A 22364-nucleotide genomic window follows, 5' to 3' on the forward strand; every position below is an offset into this window, starting at 1 on the left:
GAGCTGGAGACAGTCTGGGAAAAGTCTATGAGCTACCCAGTGTTATGAAGCTAGTCAACTGAGCTGGGACTCAAAGCCAAATTTGAGGCTTGCCGCGTAGACAAGCCGGAATTTTCTTTATCTGGGTGTTTGTCAACCTAAACACATACACAAAATTTTCACACACAGTTTTGTGTTTCATTTTTTCTAACTGGAATAGCAATATTGCTGGATTCACTAAACTGGAAGCAGAGCCCAGGAGTTCTTGTCATTAACTTGGAAAAAAAATGGAAAATATCTCTAGACTTCAGTTTCCTCATGTTGAAAGTTAGCCACTTTGACTTAACCGCCAAGATCCTGACATACTAAAACTGCAATCTAGATGGAGCAATGGGAATTCTGGCTTATTAAAGATTTTTATTTTAAATCAATAGGTTTAAGGCTCAGATTTATTTGCATAACCAAAATGTAAGAACTGAACCATAGGTATTATTTACCCACTGGCTAGTTAGGAGAAAAAGTATGAGTTTCCCACTGAGTGATCTGCAAATTGTGGGCTTCCTTTCATATATCACTACAGAGTTGTCAGATGGAAAAAAAAAAATGCACCATGTTTTTGGCTGATCTTACTTATTTCTGCAACTTCTCTGTGACCTATACACTCTACTATTTTGAAAGGCTGACATTTCCCAGAGTAAGAGAAAAAGGATAATACAGAAAGCAGAAGGAGAAAATTTTAAAAGAAAATGTTATTCATCCATTGCATTGGGAAGCTGGTCTTCTAAACAGAGCAATGATATTTAATTATGTGAAGAATACCAATACACCAGAGCCTCACTATATTGGGAAAAGCACATTAATGATTCATCTTAGAGCTTTCACCTAGAAGGGCGAGTTTCTGAAAATTCTGGAATATCAAGTTACACTGAAATGTGTTATCAGATTATCAGATTCACAAAATGCTGGCTTCCCTACAAAATACACATCTGCCCATAAATAGGCTATTGGTTTGTGCCTCAATCACTAGTACAAGTAAAAGATCACAATCACACCATCTCAAGAGATAAGTGCTGGTGTTTCCACACCCATTATCATCCTGCCTGTCCTAGAAATGGGAAATTAAGGAACCTAAATGTAACGCACCACAGTGCTGACTAAATACAAGGCCATCCCGGAGTCAAGACAGGTAGGGAGGATGGTCCTTTAACCACTCGGGGTCGCGTAAAAGACTTTTGGTGCCACATCACATCTTCTTGGCCAGCTCAGATTTCCTTCCAACACCGTGTACTTTCTAGCACGGTCCCAATTCAGCACGGTATAGACTTCTCAGAGGCAGAATCCAGCTGCCTCTGCCTACAGAAGTGACCACGATATCTCACCTCAATTGACTTTTCCTCTTTTCCTGTCTAACTCGCCCCCTACTTCACTCCCACTTCCTAGATCATGCCTGGAATCACTGTCCAATCTGCTGCCTTTCTTGTCTCAGGCCCCAGTCCCAGGCAGGGGGTGTTCCAGGAAGAACTTACAGCAGAGACAGTTATAGTATATTATACTGTCAAAATAAAAGGAAAGCAAGACAATTGGGAGATAACACAGACAAACTCAGAGTCTAACCACAAACATCCATGTGAACAAACCAAATGCAGACCCAGGACTTCAACATTCTCCTGGCTTTGCAAATTAAATCTATTCAGGACCCCAGGATCAGGACGTTCTCCTGGACTCAAACGTCCAACCAAAAGTGACAGTCCTTGGCAGAAGTGTTGTAGTAGCCCACAATTCCGTGTTGCCATTTAAGATACTCACAGACTTAAAGGCAAGGCTATCGCTAGACCAAGCCAAATAAATCAGATTAGAGAGCCCCAAAAAGCAAGACTTCCCTCCTTCAAATCACTACATATTTTGCCATGAACTCTGTTGACGTTCCCCTCTCTTGGGGCAGTCTTTAAAACCTTCTACAGCTCCATACGAGGCAGCCTTGATAAGTCTGTCCTGAGGTTTGTGTCGGCCTCAAATGAGCAGAGTGGACAAAGGTGGCATCAGGGATGTGAGCAAGCTTTAAAACACAAATGAGGTCAGAGCAGTGGCTCACGCCTGTAATCCCAGCACTTTAGGAGGCCGAGGCGGGCAGATCATGAGGTCAGGAGATCGAGACCATCCTGGCTAACACAGTGAAACCCCGTCTCTACCAAAAATACAAAAAAATTAGCCGGGCGTGGTGGGGGGTGCCTGTAGTCGCAGCTACTCGGGAGGCTGAGGCAGGAGAATGGCCAGAACCCAGGAGGCAGAGCTTGCAGTGAGCCGAGATCGTGCCACTGCCCTCCAGCCTGGGTGACAGAGTGAGATTCCGTGTCAAAAATTTAAAGAAAAAAAAAATACAAAAATCCACCAGGCGTGGTGGTATACGCCTGGAGTCCGACTACTCGAGACGCTGAGGCAGGAGAATCGCCTGAACCTGGGAGGTGGAGGCAGGAGTGAGCCGAGATGGCGCCACTGCACTCTAGCCTGGGTGACAGAGCAAGACCCCACCTCAAAAAAAAAAAAAAAAAAAATTCCCACACACAAACATCCTCTGAAGACTGAGCAGATGAATGTGGGGGAGGGAGGCAAATGTGAATGATTATGGGCCAGATGTAAGAAGAGACAAAGACAGTTCGCATCACCTGAGCTCTCATGCCAACATAAAGATGAAGGGGCGTGGAGGAAGAAAACCTCATTCTCATTTACATAACTCTACATACCACCACCTTAGAGAAGCAAGGGAGGGAGAGGCCCTTATAATAAGACAACCTGTCATTGTGTGTTTGATAGGTCCACACATTCCCCCAAAGACAGAATCAAATCAATGTCCTAAAAATGACTGATTTGTCCATTCATTAATGGCATAGACACCTCTAATAAGGAATTCTCATGCATGAACATTTCCATGAAGTCCACCGCAATGCCCTAATGTCTGGCAATAACAGTGGAAGTTCTGGCTATCCCTTCTTGCTTGCTATGAGAAAAGGCAGTAGAGTACTCCACAAAGCACAGTCCCCGGAACCTGTGTCTGGCTACTTACAGCACCAGCAACCTAGCAGGGTATGACCTCAGGTAAGCTGTGTCACTTCTCTATGCCATGATTTCATTGTCTGTATGATTGTAGTACTACTGTTGTGAGTTAATCCACATGCGGGTCTTATTAGCAAAGTGCCTGGCACAGTTTTGTGTGTGTGAGCTTTTTAGATGATGAGTAAATGTAACTGATTCAAACACACAAACACTTCTTGTTTACACTCTCATCTTCCTATGACAGGGTCTATAGCTCACCCCATAAGGTCCAAATGTGTTCTTGTCTACAAACTGACTTGCCCATTACTAACCTCTGACACAGCATGGGCAGATATTAAACTCATCTTTAGAATGAGATTGTAGCAGCCAAGTTCACCCAAAGCTACTGGAAAGGGGATCATGACAGGGTAAGTCTCTTGATCCCCAAACTGGCTGCTGATCAGAGGCTTCTGTGAGGCTCATAAAGAATTCTGATTCCTGGGCTCCCCCTTGAAGTTTCTTCTTCCATAGTCTTGCATTAGGGTCTGGGAAGGTGTTAGTTTTTGTTTTTACAAAGCTCTCCAGGTGTTCCTTATGAAGCAAGGGCCTTGGGAACTTTTTTTTTTTTTGAGAGGCAGCCTCCTTCTGTCACCCAGGCTGGAGTGCAGTGGCACAATCTCGGCTCACTGCAACCTCCACCTCCCAAGTGCAAGCAATTCTCCTGCCTCAGCCTCCTGAGTAGCTGGGACTGCAGGCGCATGCCACCATGCCCAATTAGTTTTTGTATCTTTAGTAGAGATGGGGTTTCACCGAGTTAGCCAGGATGATCTTGATCTCCTGACCTCGTGATCCACCTGCCTCGGCCTCCCAAAGTGCTGCGATTACAGGCATGAGCCACCACGCCCAGCCAGGAACTTTTTTTCTAAGGCTTAGGCATGGCTCTATGTCAGTGGCTCTCAACCAGGGTCAATTTTGCACCCTAGAGAACAAGGGGTCATTTAGCAATGTCTGGAGGCATTTTCCATTGTCATAATTTGGGCAAGGGTGCTACTGGCCTCTGGTGAGTAGAGCTCAGGGATGCTGCGATGCACAGGAAAGCCTCCTGACAACAAAGAATTATCTGGTCCAAAATGTCAACCATGCTAATTTTGGGAAACCCTGCTCTAAGTCATTTTAGGGTGTGCCTTTGACTTGGTGGTACCAAGGATAAGATTCCCAAGGCCATCAACTGGGGCCAACCCACAAAGCCAACAGAACCAAATTGGGTAACATGTGGACTGCCAGCTAACAGGAAGGCTTGTGAAGGAGCAATGGTGAACTCACAGAAAGGCCACCACAGCCTCTGTGCACACAAGGTGAACATCAACTTCGCTGAAGAGCATCCTATAATCCCAGGATCGGGGACATATCAGATGCAGAGCTGCACCTGCATAACCCCTCCTAGGAGGCAGGCACTGGGGAGACACTCTGCCTACACTATCTCCCACCACTCCTCATACCTGTCTGAGAAGACAGATATTTAAGCAGTCGAGGAAGACCAAGTTCAAAGGGTATGAGAAACATGTAAGGTTGCCAAGCTGAGATGTGGACTTGTCTGCCCATAAGGCTCAAAGCTTCCACTCCGGACACTCACCATCCTGTTTCTCATCTCCTTCTGTCCGTTTCTCCGAAGCATGCCCTGAGGCACCTGTTATACTGCCCCATCCTAGATCCGTGGAGAATTTCTAGCGGGGGTGGGCTTAGACTCAGGAGTCTTTATAAGCTCCACTGATGGCTCTAGAGCACCCAGAAGTCTAAGAACAGGACAGTCACTGTGACAGCCTTTGTCTGCCCAGGCACAATTACTGCCAGGCCAACTAGGGGCTTGTTTTCCACAAGAGGGAGAGACTGGCACTGCCCACTATCTGATTTCCCTCAAGAGGAAAGAAAGCAGCATAAAACACACTGGCTGAATTCATCACAGAGAAGGAATGCGTTTGAATTTGCTTCACTTTATTTGAGAGAAGCCAGCTGCTAAGAGAGCACCTAAAAGGTGAACTAAGCAGGTTAGTCCCAGAAACTAAGCCATCTTGGCACTGACAGCATCCGAAGTGCTAGCACTTTAAGGCCTGTGGATTCATGGACTGGATAATTTGCTCCCAAAAGTCCCACAACCAGAAATTAGGAGGGCACATTTGTAAATAACCCACAGTGCTTGTGTTAGAGGCCACAGATCCCATAGTGGCTTCACCAACTGTGGCATTTTGCCCACAACAGAAGCAGCCTTGTAAGGACAGGTAGCCAGCCACACAGGGCGAATGACTGTGGGAACAGTAAAGAGAAAAGTCATTTATTATTCCTGCCATGATTACTCCACTGGCATATCTAAGGCTCATCCCAATTTTCCCTACTGTTACAAGTACCCCATTTTTCTCTCATTTGTCTGCCCAATGATCTTGAATTAAAGTCACATGCTGATTTTAAACAAGGGGCGGGGGGAAAAAGATCGAATCCCTTGCATGTTGAAAGAAAAATGCCGTGTGGCTTTGAGCAGACGTTGTGATGCCTATTCCCCTCCTAATTACCAGCCTGCTGGCTTTCTGACAGATGGGATAGAACCACACCGCCTCATACAGCACTTATATAATGAGGTGCTGGTAATCACGACTCCACATTCAATCTGCTCCATTAATGCCAGAGGTGGTTCAACCAAATTAGAGAATTACGGTCTTACAGATAAGACTGAAACGTGTGTACACAGTAATTTTATTAACCATGAACATGCTTTGTGTAAAAAGGGCTTCCAGTTCAAAACAGTGAGAGAGACATGCAATTTGCAACCTTCACTGATTTAATAGCCTGGGAGTGGGTCTGCAGGTGGGGGTCGGAGCGTCTGTGTGCTATTACTGAACTGCGACAACACCACAGAATAAAAACATCACCAGCCAGTCAATTAAGGGAATTATTCATGAGCTTGTTAAAAGGTCACATGCCAAAAACTTCATGTAACAGGAAAGAGCTGAGGTGCGGTACTCAGTTGTTTTGTTGCTTTTAAAACTCAGAGATGATTGGAAATGAGGATAAGCCAAATTTCATTTAGAAAAAATGCTTAAAAAGCTATTACTGATGTCTTTCAAAATCCATTACTGAGAAAACCTAGAAAAGCACTCCTGTCTCTCCCCCAATCTCCCCTCAGCTGCTCCCTGCCACCATTACACCACGTTTCTCAGCAAAGGAGCTGATATCTAATTCATCTTGGTAGGAATTACTCTGATCGTGGTGAGGCCTCTTCCAGGCATTTAGGATCAGTCTAGAGGTAGACAAGTGGTTTTTCTCCTAGTCAAAGAAATAAAGTTTCCATTAAACAGAGAAACGGGAAGTGGGGAGGGGTCCTGAAACCCAGCCTTAGTAAGTAACACTACTCCAGTGGTTCTCACCTGAGGAGATTTTTACCCCCACTCCACCTCACTTCTCCCCCAACTCCCTCCCACAGGGGATACTTGGCACTTTCTGTAGACATTTTTGGTTGTCAAAACCAAGTGGGTGGAGTGTTGACAGCATCTAGTGGGTAGAGACCAGGGATGCTTTTAAACATTCTACAATACACAACAAATAATTATCCAGCCCAAAGTGTCCACAGAGCTGAGACTGAGAAACCCTGTTCTACTCCAATATTTTAGAGCCTTGCAACCCCAAGTGTGGTTCTTGGACCAGCAGCAGCGACATAACCCAGGATCTCAGAATCTCAGGACCTTCCCCAGACTTCCTGAACTACAGCCTGCATTTGAATAGCCCAGATTGATTTGTAATTGCATTAAAATGAGCTGCAGTCTTAGGACGATGGTTGTCAAAGTTGGTTACACACGAGAATTACCCAGGTGGCTTAACACTTGGGTCCCACACTCAGCCATAGAGGTGTAATTGGTCTGGGAAGCAGCCTAGGGGAAATGCAAGAGTTTTTGTTTTTTAATATCGATAACATTTAATGCTGTAATTGAGAGCTTGGGTTTTTAAAATTTTAAGTTCTGGGATACATGCGCAGGACGTGCAAGTTTGTTACATAGGTAACATGTGCCATGGTGGTTTGCTGCACCCATCAACACATCACCTAGGTATTAAGCCCCACATGCATTTGCTATTTATCCTGATGCCCTCCCCCTTTCACCCCCTACCCATAGGCCCCAGTGTGTGTTCTTCCCCTCCCTGTGTCCATGTGTTCTCACTGTTCAGCTCCCACTTATGAGAACATGTGGTGTTCGGCTTTGTTCCTATGTCAGTTTGCTGAGGATGATGGCTTCCAGTTCCATCCATGTCCCTGCAAAGGACATGATCTCATTCCTTTTTATGGCTGCGTAGTATTCCATGGTATATATGTACCACATTTTCTTTATCCAGTCTATCATTGATGGGCATTTGGGTTGATTCCATGTCTTTGCTATTGTGAATAGTGCTGCAATGAACATATACATGCATGTATGTTTATAATAGAATGATTTCTATTTCTTTGGGTATATACCCAGTAATGGGATTGCTGTGTCAAATGGTATTTCTGGTTCTAGGTCTTTGAGGAATCACCACATTGCCTTCCACAATGGTTGAACTAATCTACGTTCCTACCAACAGTGTAATAGCGTTCCTATTTCTCCACAGCCTCGCCAACATCTGTTGTTTCTTGACTTTTTAATAATCGCCATTCTGATTGGCGTCAGGTGGTATTTCATTGTGGTTTTAATTTAATGCAAGAGTTTGAAAAGCTCCCCAGGTGATTCCTGTGTGTAGTGAACTATAAGAATCACCGTCTTCAAAAGGATAAATTAGTGCTACTCAAAGTGTGGTTCCCCAGACTTGCAACATCTGCATCACCTGGGAGCTTGTTAGCAATGCAAATTCTCAGCTTCACTCCATCCCTCCTGATCAGAGACTCTGGGGTGGGCCTGGCAGCATGCCCCTTAACAAGCCCTCAGCAGATTCTGAGGCCCCTGGAGTCTGAGCAGCACCGCGTTAAATGATAAGACTTAGCTTCCTTGGAATTTCTGATCATTTGCAATTAGATTGTTGTGTTCTCCATCAGATGGGTATCACAATCGCCTCTAGATTAAAGAAGCCCCCATTTTGCAGGAATTCAACTACAAAATCAATCGCTGGGGAGCACTGGAAGGGCACTTGCCCCCTTTGTTGTGACATTATAAGTGTTGTGTGAAGATAGCGCCTAATGAAGTAGACATTTTGCTTTTGAGAATACCCTCTGGGCTAAGGGGACAAGTTTACTATAGTTTGGAACCACTCAATGGAACTTTGACCTCCAAGTTTGTGTTTAGGGAAGAACCCACTAAAAACAGAATCTGCCTCCTTCCCTGTCTAACACTCCCAAGACCAAGGTGGGCATTCCCTTCAGACAGCCTCAGAAGCCTGCCTCTGACACCTAGCTGGACCTGAGGGCATCTCTCCTGCATCAGTCTCCCAGACCTGGGGGTGTCCAGTAGTCCAGAAAAGCTTTCTAGAATGTTTCTGGGCAGTTGGGTTAAGATAAGTTAGGTGGAAGGCAACAAGGAGAACGGTTTGCAAATAAGAAGGCAGGGATGCTGCGGGCATTCACACAACAAATTTGTTCATCAGGCTGTTGGAAGGGATTTCAGCAGAGGGTATAGAGAACACAGCTGGAGAACTGGCTCAGGCCAGGCCTCGGGTGTGCCCCAGGTGTTGCTGCTTCTAGTGCCAACCATGGTGCTGGGCACTAGACCTTTCAGAGCTAGTGCAAAGCTAGATTTGCTCAGCACACAGTAGGTCCAAACACATGGTCACTTTTACCTTCGCATTTCACACTTGCTCTTGGGAAATCGATGGGAGAAGAAAAGGAGTTTTTCCTTCTTTTTAATAAAAGAAAAGGGAGCGTACACTTCAGGACACATTTAGCAGGACAACAGAATCTTATACAACCACCCAAGGTTAAGTAAAATATTTTAAGTAAACTAGTGTTCCACATCAGAAGTCTCTCAGACTATTAACCCCACAGAAGCCCCACCAAAATTCAACACAATTCCACATCCTACAGCACCACTAATAATTATCCCTAGACCCCCATAAATCGGAGAAGGTTTCACAGAAAAACCTACAAACCCTATCACCAAAAGAACACTTAACAATAAAGCATATGCCATTATGCATATAGTTTATGAGGCTTCCACATCAGAAGTCTCTCAAGAAGGGGCTGAATTAAAATCTCCTCCACAATTATGCTAGACAAATCAACTATGTGAAACTGAGCTTTTATGTAATTAATAAAGTCTCTCCAACTAGATTAGCTACTTCTAAAATCAGAGTGTAAGCTACTTTACACCCAGCAGGGAAAATAGCCCGGCAATGCAGTGCAGGCTGACAGGTCCTCTTACAGAACCACTGGAAAAGCATCATAAAAGTTCCATGTCTGCTTTTGCCCTAACTGGGCCATTATATTTTAAGAAGAACATGGTAAATGCTCATCCTCCAAGCCTTGTCTTTTACCAACCCCCTAAAAGTGTTCACTAAGAAAACCTAATAATGAAAACTTAAGTATGTCTAAAAAACAGCACGGTTCAGTATATGCTGTTCAAGACAGATAAACAGATGAAGTCTCCCATTATTTAGTCTAAGCTGTAACCACTCAACTAAGACCCTATAAAAATGCCTCACCACAAATAGTTTTCTAGGGAGTTATCAATTAATTCTGGTAATGAAATCTCCCATATTTCTCATTTTCTTTTTCATGATAACAGACTATTTGTCAGTCATGACTATTAGCTATAACTAGGATAAAATCTCATCTTCTTGGTGATTATATCATGTCTCTTCCATCTCCTTTCACTTGCCCTGACCCCTCTGCAAATCTATACAGTGTACATGCTTACATACGTGTATGCATCTATACATACATGCATATGTGTTTATGTGCATGCTTGTGTGTATATACACTTACTATAGAGAGAGAGAGGAAGGAAGGGAGGAAGGGGAGGAAACCTTAGAAAGTATATTATAAAGAAATTTTAGAAGTTTAAGAAAAAGAAAAACCTTCAGAAAAAAATACAACAAATCCTTAACATGTGCAAAAGACACTTGCCAAAAAAAACAGCCCCAGATCCCCAAATCCCGCTGCTATCGCTGAGGGTTGAGGAGTGAAGGGGAAGAGCAGCTGTGGCAGGAAATTGAAGGTCTAAGGGCTTTACAATTTCCAGAAAAGTATGTGACAGTGAGCCCAACACCACAGGGCTCTCCACTTCCCGCTCTCCCGGGATCCTGAGCAAGGCTATAGGAATGACTTGTCCTAGCCTTGGGAATCATTCCGGTCCTGGCTGAAACCACAAACACGGGCTGGGAAAATGACAGGATTGAGATGGGATGCCCATAAATAAATCACTGTAACAGCATGGAAAGCCCTCTGATGAGGTGATATTTAAGAGGAACATACGAAAATAATTAGCCAAAGACACAATCAAAAGAGTAGCGCCAACATGTATGTTAGATATAGGTCCAAAATGGGCTAAGTCTTGGAAAAAATATTTCCAAATGCCATTCAGAACAAAATTCTCAGGTTAACTACAACCCAAGAAGAATGGTCAATGTTTACATGAGACAAAAGACAGAATAGCACCACTTCTGGCCTGTCAACTGGGCAAGGAACAGAAAATAAAACTAATTAAGAGGACACAGAAGTCCAACAAGACAGAACGAAAAAGAAACACCTGGTCCTTCTAACACCATCCAGATCCTAAATCACATTATCCCAAATGGTGAAAGATCATTCCATGTTGTTATGGAAAAACTCCCAGTAGCCTTTTAAAAAATCAGGGCAAACAGGAAACTATTCTAGAAGTTGGGAAATGGGTCTTGGTGTTTGTAAGCAGATCTTAGAAATTCAAGACCGATGAAAGGCTTACTTCAATTATCAGATGGCTTACTTAACAGATTTAGTCTAACAATTCCAAAATGAAAAACATTTTGTTCAGCTCACCTAGGTTCACCAGGAATAAATCTAACTGGCCTAACTCCATTTCCTTTAGAGATGGCTTCCCTAACCTAGTAAACCAGGAGAATGCCTCAGATGATACATTTTGATTTTAACAAGGCATCTGATAAGAGTTTCTTATAACATTGTTATGAATGAGATAGAAAAGTTAGGGTATGGTGAGGTGAACTAAACTCTGGTTAGACAAACATTCTGGAAAATCTTGATCAGCCAAACAATTTGGAGTAACATCTCTAGGGTCAATTCTTAAGCCATTTGAAAAGTGAAAAAAAGTTGTAATGATACCACTTTGCCTCTTCAATTGTCCATTTTTAAAAATGAAAACAGCCAGTGCTGGTTGGAATACAAAGTGTCAATCTCAGTGGACAATTTAGTAATATGTCTCACACTTCTGATTAGAAATTGCATTTAAAGAAATATTCTTCCTAAGGAAATAATCAGACACAAGATTGTATAAAGCCCTTCACTGCTATGTTATAATAGGAGAAGAAAAACCATACTTGGGTATTTAAGGTGAATGGTTAATAACGGTGCATCAATAAGATGCAACATTGACACTTAAAAGGAAGTACATCAAGATTTTCAATAACAAAGAAATGCTCACTTTAGAAAGTGGGGGGAAAAGCAGGATGCACAACAGAACACGTACCATTAGCTCAGCTTTATAAAAATGTGTACCAACCCGGCCAGATGCTATGGCTCACACCTGTAATCCCAGCATTTGGGAAGCCAAGGCCAGTGGATTATTTGAGGCCAGGAGTTCAAGACCAGCCTGGCCAACATGGTGAAACCCCGTCTCTACTAAAAATAAAAAAATTAGCTGCGCCTGGTGGTGCATGTCTGTAATCCCAGCTACTCAGGAGGCTGAGACAGGAGGATCACTTGCGCCCATGAGGCAGAGGTTGCAGTGAGCTGAGATCACGCCACTATACTCCAGCCTGGGTGACAGAGTCTCGCTCTGTCTCAAAAACAAAAACAAAATGTATATAAACCTGCGCACATGCATAAAAGAAATGGAAAGAAAAAAATCTCCAAAAGCTAACCATTCTCTGGGTGGTAGGATGAGGGGTGACTCTTCATACATTAAATTGTCCAGTTTTTGGTCAGGCATGGTGGCTCACATCTGTAATTCAGCACTTTGGGGGGTCAAGGCAGGTGGAATGATCTGAGGTCAGGAGTTCAAGGCCAGCCTGGCCAACATGGAGAAACCCCTATCTCTACAAAAAAAAGTACAAAAATTGGCCGGGCATGGTGGTACACACCTGTAGTCCCAGCTACTTGGGAGGCTGAGGCAAGAGAATCACTTGAACCCAGGAGGCAGAGGCTGCAGTGAGCCAAGATCTCCCCGGCGATCACACTATTGTACTCTAGCCTAGGCGACACAGCAAGACCCTACCTCAAAAAAAAAAATTGTCCAGTTTTTAAATAATGAGTACATACTAATTTTAAAATCATGAAATGTTATTTAGACTATATGTATTTTTACAATTGGTTTTCAAAAACCATGAAAAGGAAAGTTTCGAGTAACCAAGCAGAAGCTGGAGGCGTGGAAGGCTACCATCAGGGCTGTGGTAGGAATGCAGTCGGGAGGATTCTTATGCTGGAAGGAAAGGGCTGGCATCAGTGCCTGCCAAGGCCACTTCCCACCTTGCAGCCAGTCCAGGCCTTCACAGGAAAATTAGACATACAGGTAGGAAGCCCATGTCCCCATTTAACTCTCGAACCAGAAGCAAGAGATATGTAGAGGCCGGGGAAGGGGACGCATCTGCTCTTCCTTCAAGCCCTTCTCCCTAAAAGTTCATGCTAGAAATGCCCCAGAAACAACCCATCTTTCACTGTGGATGCCCTCTGATTCTACTCTCCAGAAGGCAGTTAGAGAAAAAAAATGCCCCCTTGATTGATGTGTGTGTTTAATATATACATTGAGACACGGTCTCACTCTGTTGCCCAGGCTGGAGTTCAGTGGTGTGATTAAGGTTCACTGTAACCTCAATCAACCTCCTACCCTCAATCAATCCTTCTACCTCAGCCTCCTGAGTACCTGGGACTACAGGTGTGCAACACCATGCCCAGCTAATTTATTTCATTTTTTGTAGAGACAGGGTCTCACTGTGTTGCCCAGACTGGTCTCAAACTCCTAGGCTCAAGTGATACTCCCACCTTGCCCTCCCAAAGTGCTTGGGTTACAGGCATGAGTCACTGTGCCAGGCCTACTTCCCAATATAAAATGGGCCCCAGAGAAATTCAAAGAAGGCTTCCTCAACAAATCTACCCAAACCATTTTTATTCTATAGAAGAAAAAACAAACAAAACTAATGACTAGGTTAAGGCTTTTTCTTTAACTCAGTAACATATGCCTTCTTTGGAACTAAATTTAATAACCTAGGCTTCCATCTGGGGTTGGATGAAGAATAAATCAAAGTAATTATTTCTGGAAAGTAGCTAATGTGCAAATATATTTTCGCCCACAATAAAATTCCTCAACACATACCCATGTGCACAGACAAGCGCACGCACACACAACACACACCCTTCCTTTGAAATGAGCCAGTCCAATATTATCAAGCTTAGGATTCAAGGAGAAACTGACATATCCTTTTCTACATTTCCTCAACTGTGGTTTGATTCTTTCTGGCCTGAGCTCCAACTTCTATCAGCTTGTATCAATCTGGTTTTGATGCAGAGTGGGGAGTAAGGGGGCTAACAGTTTTGTTTTACTTTGCCCCCTTTTAAAAGGCCACTGAAATATGTACTGTGACTAACATCCTAAATGTGTCCCTAAGGATTTTTTCATGCCAGTACCTACCTCCCTTGCTAGCAATGGGCAGAAAGAGGCAGTGGACAGAGGCCGACGAAGGCGAGGTGGTGTGTGGGTATGAGAAAACCAAACTCAAGATATTTTTCTCTTGTCACTCAACAGCAACCGTGACAGACTTCTGTGACTGCTGAACACCAAAACATATTGAGATTTTCCCCACACACTAAGCAAGCAATTCTGCAGCAGACAGCAGCTGGGTGTCCTCCAGTTCAATTCTGACACTACCCACTCGGTGACGGTGTCAGATCCCACAAGGTGAGGGCTCAGTCCCACCAGACTGCCCCACTTCGAAGGCCAGCTCCAAGCCCCAGGGTGTTTTAACCTGTGCTTCTGACCCACTGGCTAGGAATTAGGGTTCCCATGACCCATTCTCTTTGGGTTCAATTATTTTACTAGAGTGGCTCACAGAACTCAGGGATACACTTAACTTACATTGACTGGTTTATTATGAAGGATTACAGAGGATACAGAAGAAGGGATGCATGGAGCAAGGCACAGGAGAAGGGGGTACAGTGCTTCCATGCCCTCTGGGGTGCACCACCCTCCACGTGTTCAGGTATCTGGAGCTTTTTGAACCCTGTCATTATGGGTTTTTATGGAGGCTTCTTTGTGTAGGCATAATTGATTAAACCACTGGGCACATCAACTTAACTTTCAGTCCCTCTCTCCTTGCCAGAGGCTGGGGGCTGGGGCTGGAAGTCCTGACCCTCTAAATTCTGCCTTGGTCTTTCAGGTGACCAACCCCATCCTGAAGCTACCCAGGAGCTGCCAGCCATCAGTGAACTCATTAGCATTCACTAGGACACAATTTTGAAGATTCTAAGAATTTTAGGAGTTGTTATGCCAGGAAACCGGGAAGATGACCAAATACGTATTTCATAATATCACAGGTAGGATGGACTCAGTTGGTTTCAAAACAAAGTTCAGGTATGTGCATTCAGCACGAGACCATAATCTTGTATCCTTGACAAGCCAGAAGTGAAAAGTCTAGCGCATCTGTGTCTGGGAGTCAGCCATTTAGGCAGAGATACCAATCTGCGCCTAAATGCTGGCCCAGCTATTAAAGCTGGATGCACCACGAGTAAAGAAATTGTTCTCCAAAATCTGCACACAAGGCCTCCTGTCGAGATAACACAACAAGCCCCAAGTGCTGTGAGATTCCTTCCAAACATCTCAGTAAAGCCTATCTTCTTGAACTGTCTTAGGGATTGGGTATAACAACAGATGCGGAAAAATTACTCTGGAATCATTTCTTTCTCCCAAGACCTTTCATCAGCCAAATCCTCCTCCCTAAGCTCCTTTGCTTTTGATAGGATATGATATTTGCAGAATGTGGATCCAATAATAAGGAAACATGTATTTTATCCTGAACATGCTTGCTACTGCCTCAAACAATCACATTTCTTGAAATGCAGAATTGCAGGTTAATTATGCAAAGGGCAGACCCAGCTTTCTGTAGTCTATTGTTTGTAAGCCTGTCCCTGGCTTTAGTTACTCATGATATTGGGAAAAGCAACCTAATACAGACCTGCAGCTGTGCCCACACAGTGAAGGCCGCTTGGGGAATACTGCTGGCTTCATGTGCATATCAAATAGGTGAGCTTACCATTCCCCACATATGTTCCTCATTGTTCTATGCATTTGTGGCTGGCAGTGTTTCCAATCACAGCAGCCACTCCATGAACAATCAAAATTACAGATCAGTGGCAAACTGCAAGCCCACCATACTTTGGGAGTGACAGGTCTGTGGTATAATGCACACCCTTACCAACAAACCAGCCTTCATTCTCATTCAGAATATGTGTTGGGCTAGGACACACTATGGACGTTTAAACTCAGTTTAGTTGTTTCTTATTAAAGAAAAAAGTACCCCACATCTCAAGCACAGGGCCTAAAGAAATAAACAAAGAGGTGTGCACAGATTCATGCACCAGCCATAAATGTCATCACAACATAAAAGAGCAAGAAATGGAACAACTCAGATTTCCTAATAGACTGTTAAATAAATTATGCTATAGCCAACAGAAGAACTCCATGAGGTCATTAAAAAGAATGGGTTACATATATAGGGAGTTTTTTAATGTCCTTGGTTTTATGTTAAGAGAAAGCACCAGGATCCAGAACAATATGAACAGAAAGATCCTATTTTCATTACACCTAGTTGTGTGTTTGTGTGTGTGCACGTGCACACGTGTAAAGCATATGGGTGTGCATCACACTTTATTTGCAAAGTAAGTATTCTGGAAGCACATGCACCAAACTGTTCACTGTGATGATCTTTTATGAGGAATGGAGGACAGGAAAACACTCACTTTAACATTCATATTAATTGAAACATATTGGTTCTACAAATATGTGCCACTGTTACAAATCAATGAGACGAATGAAAATATGTTCATTTTTAAAGAAACACAGGGCCTTCCATATTCACAAGAATGTCAGGGTTCTCTTGTAATAAACCATCTGAGCTCTCCAAGGTTAATTATATAAGCAGATCACATCACCCCAAGGCTTAATAATGCACCCGTGGCCTCCTACTGCTCCTATAATCAAAACTTCCTCCCCAGGCTCCCGAGGCTCAGCTGCATCTCACCTTTGCCCTTCACTAATTGGGTCCCACCACAGGAGCCTCTTTTTCTGACTTTTAAACACACCACGCTGGTCTCACCTCAGGCCCTTTGTTTGCAGCAATCCCTCTGTCCAGGGATGCTTTTTCTCAAGTCTCCTTTGTTGAAGTTTCACCAAAGGTTGAAGTGTCACCTACTCAGTGACCTTCCTTGGCCCCCAACTTCACAGTGGTCCTCCTCACATGCTGTCACATCACCCTGCTCTGTTTCCTTCACAGCTCTGCCTACTCTCTGCAGTCACTTCCCTGCCCATCTCCTTCTTTAGGTCCAGGAGAGCAGAGAGCTGGTTTGGTGCCTCAAAAAGCAGCCAGCTCAGGGTGGGCTGAATTGAACTGAATATTTTACTCATTAAATGAGTAAATATCAGGGTCAGGTTTTAGGAAATGCAGCTGATAGGACTCTGATAAAACAGGTTTTAGGAAATGCAGCTGATAGGACTCTGATTGATAAAACTGGACTTTTTTAAAAAAAATGCTACCTTCTCACATAGGAAACAAAATGTAGGCTACACCAACAGAACAGCTATCCAACCACAAACCAAACCACCACCCCACCATTCCACAGATGCAGATGTTGACCTGAAATTTCAAACAAGAATGGAGTTTACATTCACTAACCTGTCATGGAAGTTCCTCAAGATTGATTTATAAATCAACCTTGGCCAGGTGCAGTGGCTCACGCCTGTAATCCTAACACTTTGGGAGGCCAAGGCAGGCAGATCACTTGAGGTCAGGAGTTTGAAACCAGCCTGACCAACATGGTGAAACACCGTCTCTACTAAAGATACCAAAAAATTAGCCAGGTGGGGTGGCGCACTCCTGTAATCCCAGCTGCTTGGGAGGCTGAGGCAGGAGAATCGCTTGAACCCGGGAAGTGGAGGTTGCAGTGAACCGAGATCGCACCTCTGCACTCTAACCTGGGCGACACAGTGAGACTCCATCTCAAAAATAAAATAAAATAAAATAAAATAAAAATGAATCTTTATTCTACTTAGAAAAGGCCGTAAAGAGTCTCTCTGTGACCACCTGTCCTGAGTCGTCAACCCAAACAGCCAAGTGAATCCTTGAGGAAGAAGAGATATTGAGCCAGATTGGTCTTGATGCAGCTAACAAAGTACCTTGCTCAAAGTCGGGGTAAGGGGAGCACTGAGATACAGGGGCCTGAATGTCTCATTTCCCAAACTTCCATCTGCTTTCCCAGAAGAGACTTGTCAACAGACACCTCACACCACTACTATTTTGGAAAAGTACTCAATTTCAGATTCTAACACATGTCCTCATATTCTGGAAGAATTACATCTATAGAAACATGGTTTTTCCATAATCTTAGCCTCAGTCACCTTGGAAGAGGAGGAGAATTTGAACTTGGATTTTAAAAGCAGGCAAGATTCATGTCTTGGTTGTTCACAGGTGACTTCCACGCCACTGACACATCGTGCACATTGCTTTTCTCACTGAAAACACACACACACACAGAGCAAGCACTTTCTTGGCTGAAAATGCCAAGGAACAAATTTTGGTGGGTGCTAACACCCATGTAGCAACAAACACAAAAGCAAATAGAGACACAGCAATTTGCTTGTTCTGTCGCCCTAAGAAAGCTATGGAAAGAGGATTTTTATTAACTCTTCCATGTAAGCCTGGAGCAATCTTCCTGTCCAAATACTAAAGTCCTTTCAGAGATTTCCCCCTCTAGTGGTTTGTGTTTAAGAATCTAAGGGGAGAGTAGCAAATGGGAATTACTGATCAAAGGGCATAAAGTTTCAATTATACGAGACGAATAAGTTCTGGAGACCTGCCTATAGTTAACAATACAGTATTGTACACTTAATTTAAAAGGTAGATTTCATGTTAATGTATATTACTTTTATATGTATAAATATTTTATACATTTACTTATTTGTATGGTTTTTTTTTTTGTTTGTTTGTTTTTTTTGAGGCCGAGTCTCTGTTGCCCAGGTTGGAATGCAATGGCACGATCTAGGCTCACTGCAATCCCCACCTCCCAGTTCAAGCAATTATCTTGCCTCAGTTGCCTGAGTAGCTGGGACTACAGATGTGCACCACGACGCCTGGCTTATTTTTGTATTTTTAGTAGAGACAGGGTTTCGCCATGTTGGCCAGGCTGATCTCGAACTCTTGACCTCCAGTGATCTGCCCGCCTCAGCCTCCCAAAGTGCTGGGATTATAGGCATGAGCCACCGCGCCCAGCCTTGTTTGTATGTTTTACATTGTGTGTGTATATATATTTAGACGGAGGGCGCACGCGTATATACGTGCACTTTTCAAGTCTCACAGCAATGTCTTTTAATCCTTTTCTTAAGGCAGGTAAGATAAGAAGTTTCAACCTTAACCTAACAGATAAGGAAATGGAAGCAAAGGGTACTACATTATGTATAGCAAAAACAAACCTAAAACACCATTTTTTTTGCCTCTCAGATTGGGAAAACAACTTCCTTCTGGGCTGCAGGGAAAACGAAAGGAGACTCTGCCCAAAAACCCCTTCTGGGCTCCCCGTCCAGCTTGCTGGAAATCTGTGAGACACCCCGGTGGCAGTGACTGAGGTTGGGGCTGTTTACAGCTGTTCTCTTCCTCCTTTTTCCTCCTGAGTACATAGCACGCGAAGACTCCCTGGGGCCTCCCACCTGAGCAGGACGTGTGCTGCTGCCTTGAAGTGAAGGCAGCCCCGGGCTCTGGAGGCTAGCGGCACAGGGCATGAATCCTCACCCCACCAGCAGGATCCCAGCTCTATGGCTCTGGGCTTCTGTCCACCACTGAGAGCCTCTAAACCTCCATCTGCCACCTATAAAACTGGAAGAGCGAAACCTCTATCTCATAGGATTGTTCTAAGGATTAAATGAGACAGAATACAGAATATACTTAGTACAGTGCCCGAAGCATACTAAGAAAGTCAGTAATAAAACTATCTTCAGAGTTAAACTTTTAGGTCAAAAACCTGTCAGATTAGAAAAGGAACTATACAAAAACCCCTTGACTCCTGGGTCACGGTTCCCTGACAGGCTGTAAGAGCCATAGCTCTAGGTCTAGGGCCTACAGGCACTTAGAAAATGTGCAATTAAAAAAGTAAAGAAAGCCTCAATTATCAGCAGATGATCACAGTATCAACATAGCCAAAGAAAAGACTTATTAATCAGGAAGGGGGTTGGTCTGCTAGGAAAACACAAAAAAGATAGTTATAAGGGAAAATAGGGCAGATCACTTCAAAATATGTTGCCCACAGGGAAAGAACCTTGGCCACTGTTCTGGTCTCAAAGGTAGTCTCACTTAGACCCAAACCACATCTCTAATACCCAGACTGACAGATCAGGCAATCAGAGGCTGATGGCCCTAAATATTGTATTCACCTAATTCCTGCTTATCCCAAGGCCCAGGATCCCTATGTGGGTCTACCTGCGGGAGAAAAAGGGAAGAAACCACATGGACACTGTCAGAGCTCAGGCTGCTACAGCAAAATACCACAGACTGACTGGGCAGCTTAAGCAACAGTGACTTTCTCACAGTTCTGGAGGCTGAAGTTCTGAGATCAGGGTGCCAGCACGGTCAGATTCTGGTGAGGGCCCTCCTCCTGGCTCACAGACTGTGTCCTTACAAGGCAGGGGGAGCAAGTGCTGGCCTCTCTCCCTCTTCTCATCATGGCACTAATCCCATCATGGGGGCCCCAACCTCATAACCTCATCTAACCCTAGTTACTTCCCAAAGCACACATACCTCCTAAAACCATCACACTGGGAATTAGGGCTTCAATACATGAATTTCAGGGAAGACATAAACACCCAGTTCATAATAGACACCCAGACAAGGTCTTCTAAAGGAGATCTTTGCATCCACTAATAACCTGCTATCCTATCCATGTTTGCATGTCAGTTATTTGAGCTTGATTCATCTGAGTCCCCTGACTTTGTGCCATTAAAATCAAGCTTCAATCCATGAGCCCACAAGCCAGACTGTGCAGAGTGGTAAAGAGGCCAGTAGAACAAACGTCAGTGAGGTGCAGGGCCTCCTGGAAGTTTCCTCCAGAACAATGACCCACTACTTCAATAGTACTTTAATAACACTCAAGTACAAATCAAAACCACACTGAGATACCATTCACACCCACTAGAATGGCTGGAACCAAAAAGACAGATGATAACAAGAGTTGGCAAGGATGAGAAGTTGGAGCCTTCGTACTCTGCTGGTGGGAATGTAAAATGACATTGCCACTTTGGAAAACGTTTCGGCAATTCCTCAAATGTTAAGCATTGAGTTACCATATAATCCAGTGCCAGGGGCTACATGTTTCCAAAATTTATATGTTAAAACCATTACCTCCAGGGCTATGGTGTTAGGAGCTGGGACCTTTGGGAGGTGACTAGGTCACGGGGCCAGAGCCCTCATGAATGGGATTAGTGTCCTCATAAAAGAGGCCCGAGAGCTGCCTTGCCTCTTGGGCCATATGAGGACACCTCAGGAAAATGCCACCTATGAACCAGGCCCTCTCCAGACACTGAATCCGTCTTCATCTCAGACTTCCCAGGCTCCAGTACTGTGAGATATAAACGTCTGTTGTTTATAAGCCACCCAGTCTATGATATTTCATTACAGCAGCCCAAACAATGACACATAGCAATTCCACTCCTAGCTCTATACCCAAGAAATAAAAAGGAGAACATATTTCCCCACAAACACTAGCACATGGAGGGACATAGCAGCATCCTTGATAATAGCCTCAAGGCGGAAACAACACAAATGCCCATCAACCGATGAATGGATCACTTAACTGTGGCATATCCATACAATGGAACATGATGCCACAATAGAAATGGAGTACTGCCACACCACACGCCACAGTGAGGGTGAAGCTGACGACACTATGCTGAGTGACTAAGGAAAGAAAGAAAAGATATGCTAGGCCACAAAGGACCAAGAGTACCTGATTCCATGTGTATGAAATGTCCAACACAGGCAAATCTCTAAGGACAGGAAATAGACAGTGGCTGCGTGGGGCTGGGCATGGGGAAGGAGACCTGGGAGGGGCTGGGTGGTGAAGGCTACAGGGATTGGGACTTTTTGTGGTAATGAAAATGTTCTGAAATAGACTGTGGTGATGGAGGCACAACTGACTATACTAAAAGCCATTGAACCGTACTCTTTAATGGGGTGACAGTATGCTATGTGATTATATTTTAATAAAGCTACTTTATAAAAACCACCTATCTCTGTTTTGCCTGGAAAGCCTGCTAAAAATAACCCCCATGTATTGAGTACCTACTTTAGGTCAAACACTGTACCAAGCAATGTTATTATCTCATGTGTTTCTTATAACGATCTTACAAAGTGGGTAGGAACGATGATAAGCCACTCAAGGATTTATTTAAATGCCTCCTATTTAGTGATAGGAACAAGCTGAATCATGCTACAGAAAGATGCTGGTAAAACCCACACTGACTGAAAGCTCAAAGGGTGCAACTACTTAGAGAAAGGCAAGAGATGGGGAGAAAAAAAGTCACCAGAATTCCATTCGATGCAATTTCATGGACACCCGAGGAAGGCGACATGCACTGTGGTGGGGTCCTTCATAAGGGAGGTAAACGCACCCAGCGGTGCTGACGGTGTATGCACAATAGCACCCAGTGGGCTGATCACAGGAAAGCAATGCCAGCATAGAGGAAATGAGAGCTTTAGTCTTTGTTCTCACACTGGCTTGCTTCCCCCTGTACCCCACTAAAGGGAAAAAGTATGCTTGATATGATTACAAAAACTGTATATGTATCTTATAAAATATTTTTCCAGAAAATTTAAAAAGTCTAAGGAGAAAGTCAGCATGAGCCATAACCTAACATCAACACTTTGGTATTGATTTGTAGTCAATGGCAGGACCTATGCAAAATCAAATAGAATTTTCAATGTCCAGTAGCAAACACACTGGACAA

General features: G+C 43.9%; 1 protein-coding gene across 1 annotated transcript in view, besides 1 other annotated feature; it reads right to left on the reverse strand.

The window, feature by feature from the left end:
- Positions 1 to 22364, reverse strand: part of TMEM163 (transmembrane protein 163) — a 263242-nt gene that overhangs the window by 61620 nt on the left and 179258 nt on the right. The window lies entirely within an intron of this gene.
- Positions 18625 to 19125: an enhancer, noted in NCBI's record as "H3K4me1 hESC enhancer chr2:135293574-135294074 (GRCh37/hg19 assembly coordinates)". NCBI's record gives its function as "activates a minimal SCP1, AML or CMV promoter by ChIP-STARR-seq in primed H9 embryonic stem cells {active_cell/tissue: H9 hESC(primed)}" and the evidence as "EXISTENCE:reporter gene assay evidence [ECO:0000049][PMID:30033119]".

The sequence above is a fragment of the Homo sapiens genome, chromosome 2, assembly GCF_000001405.40.
Source record: "Homo sapiens chromosome 2, GRCh38.p14 Primary Assembly".
Lineage (NCBI taxonomy): Eukaryota > Metazoa > Chordata > Mammalia > Primates > Hominidae > Homo > Homo sapiens.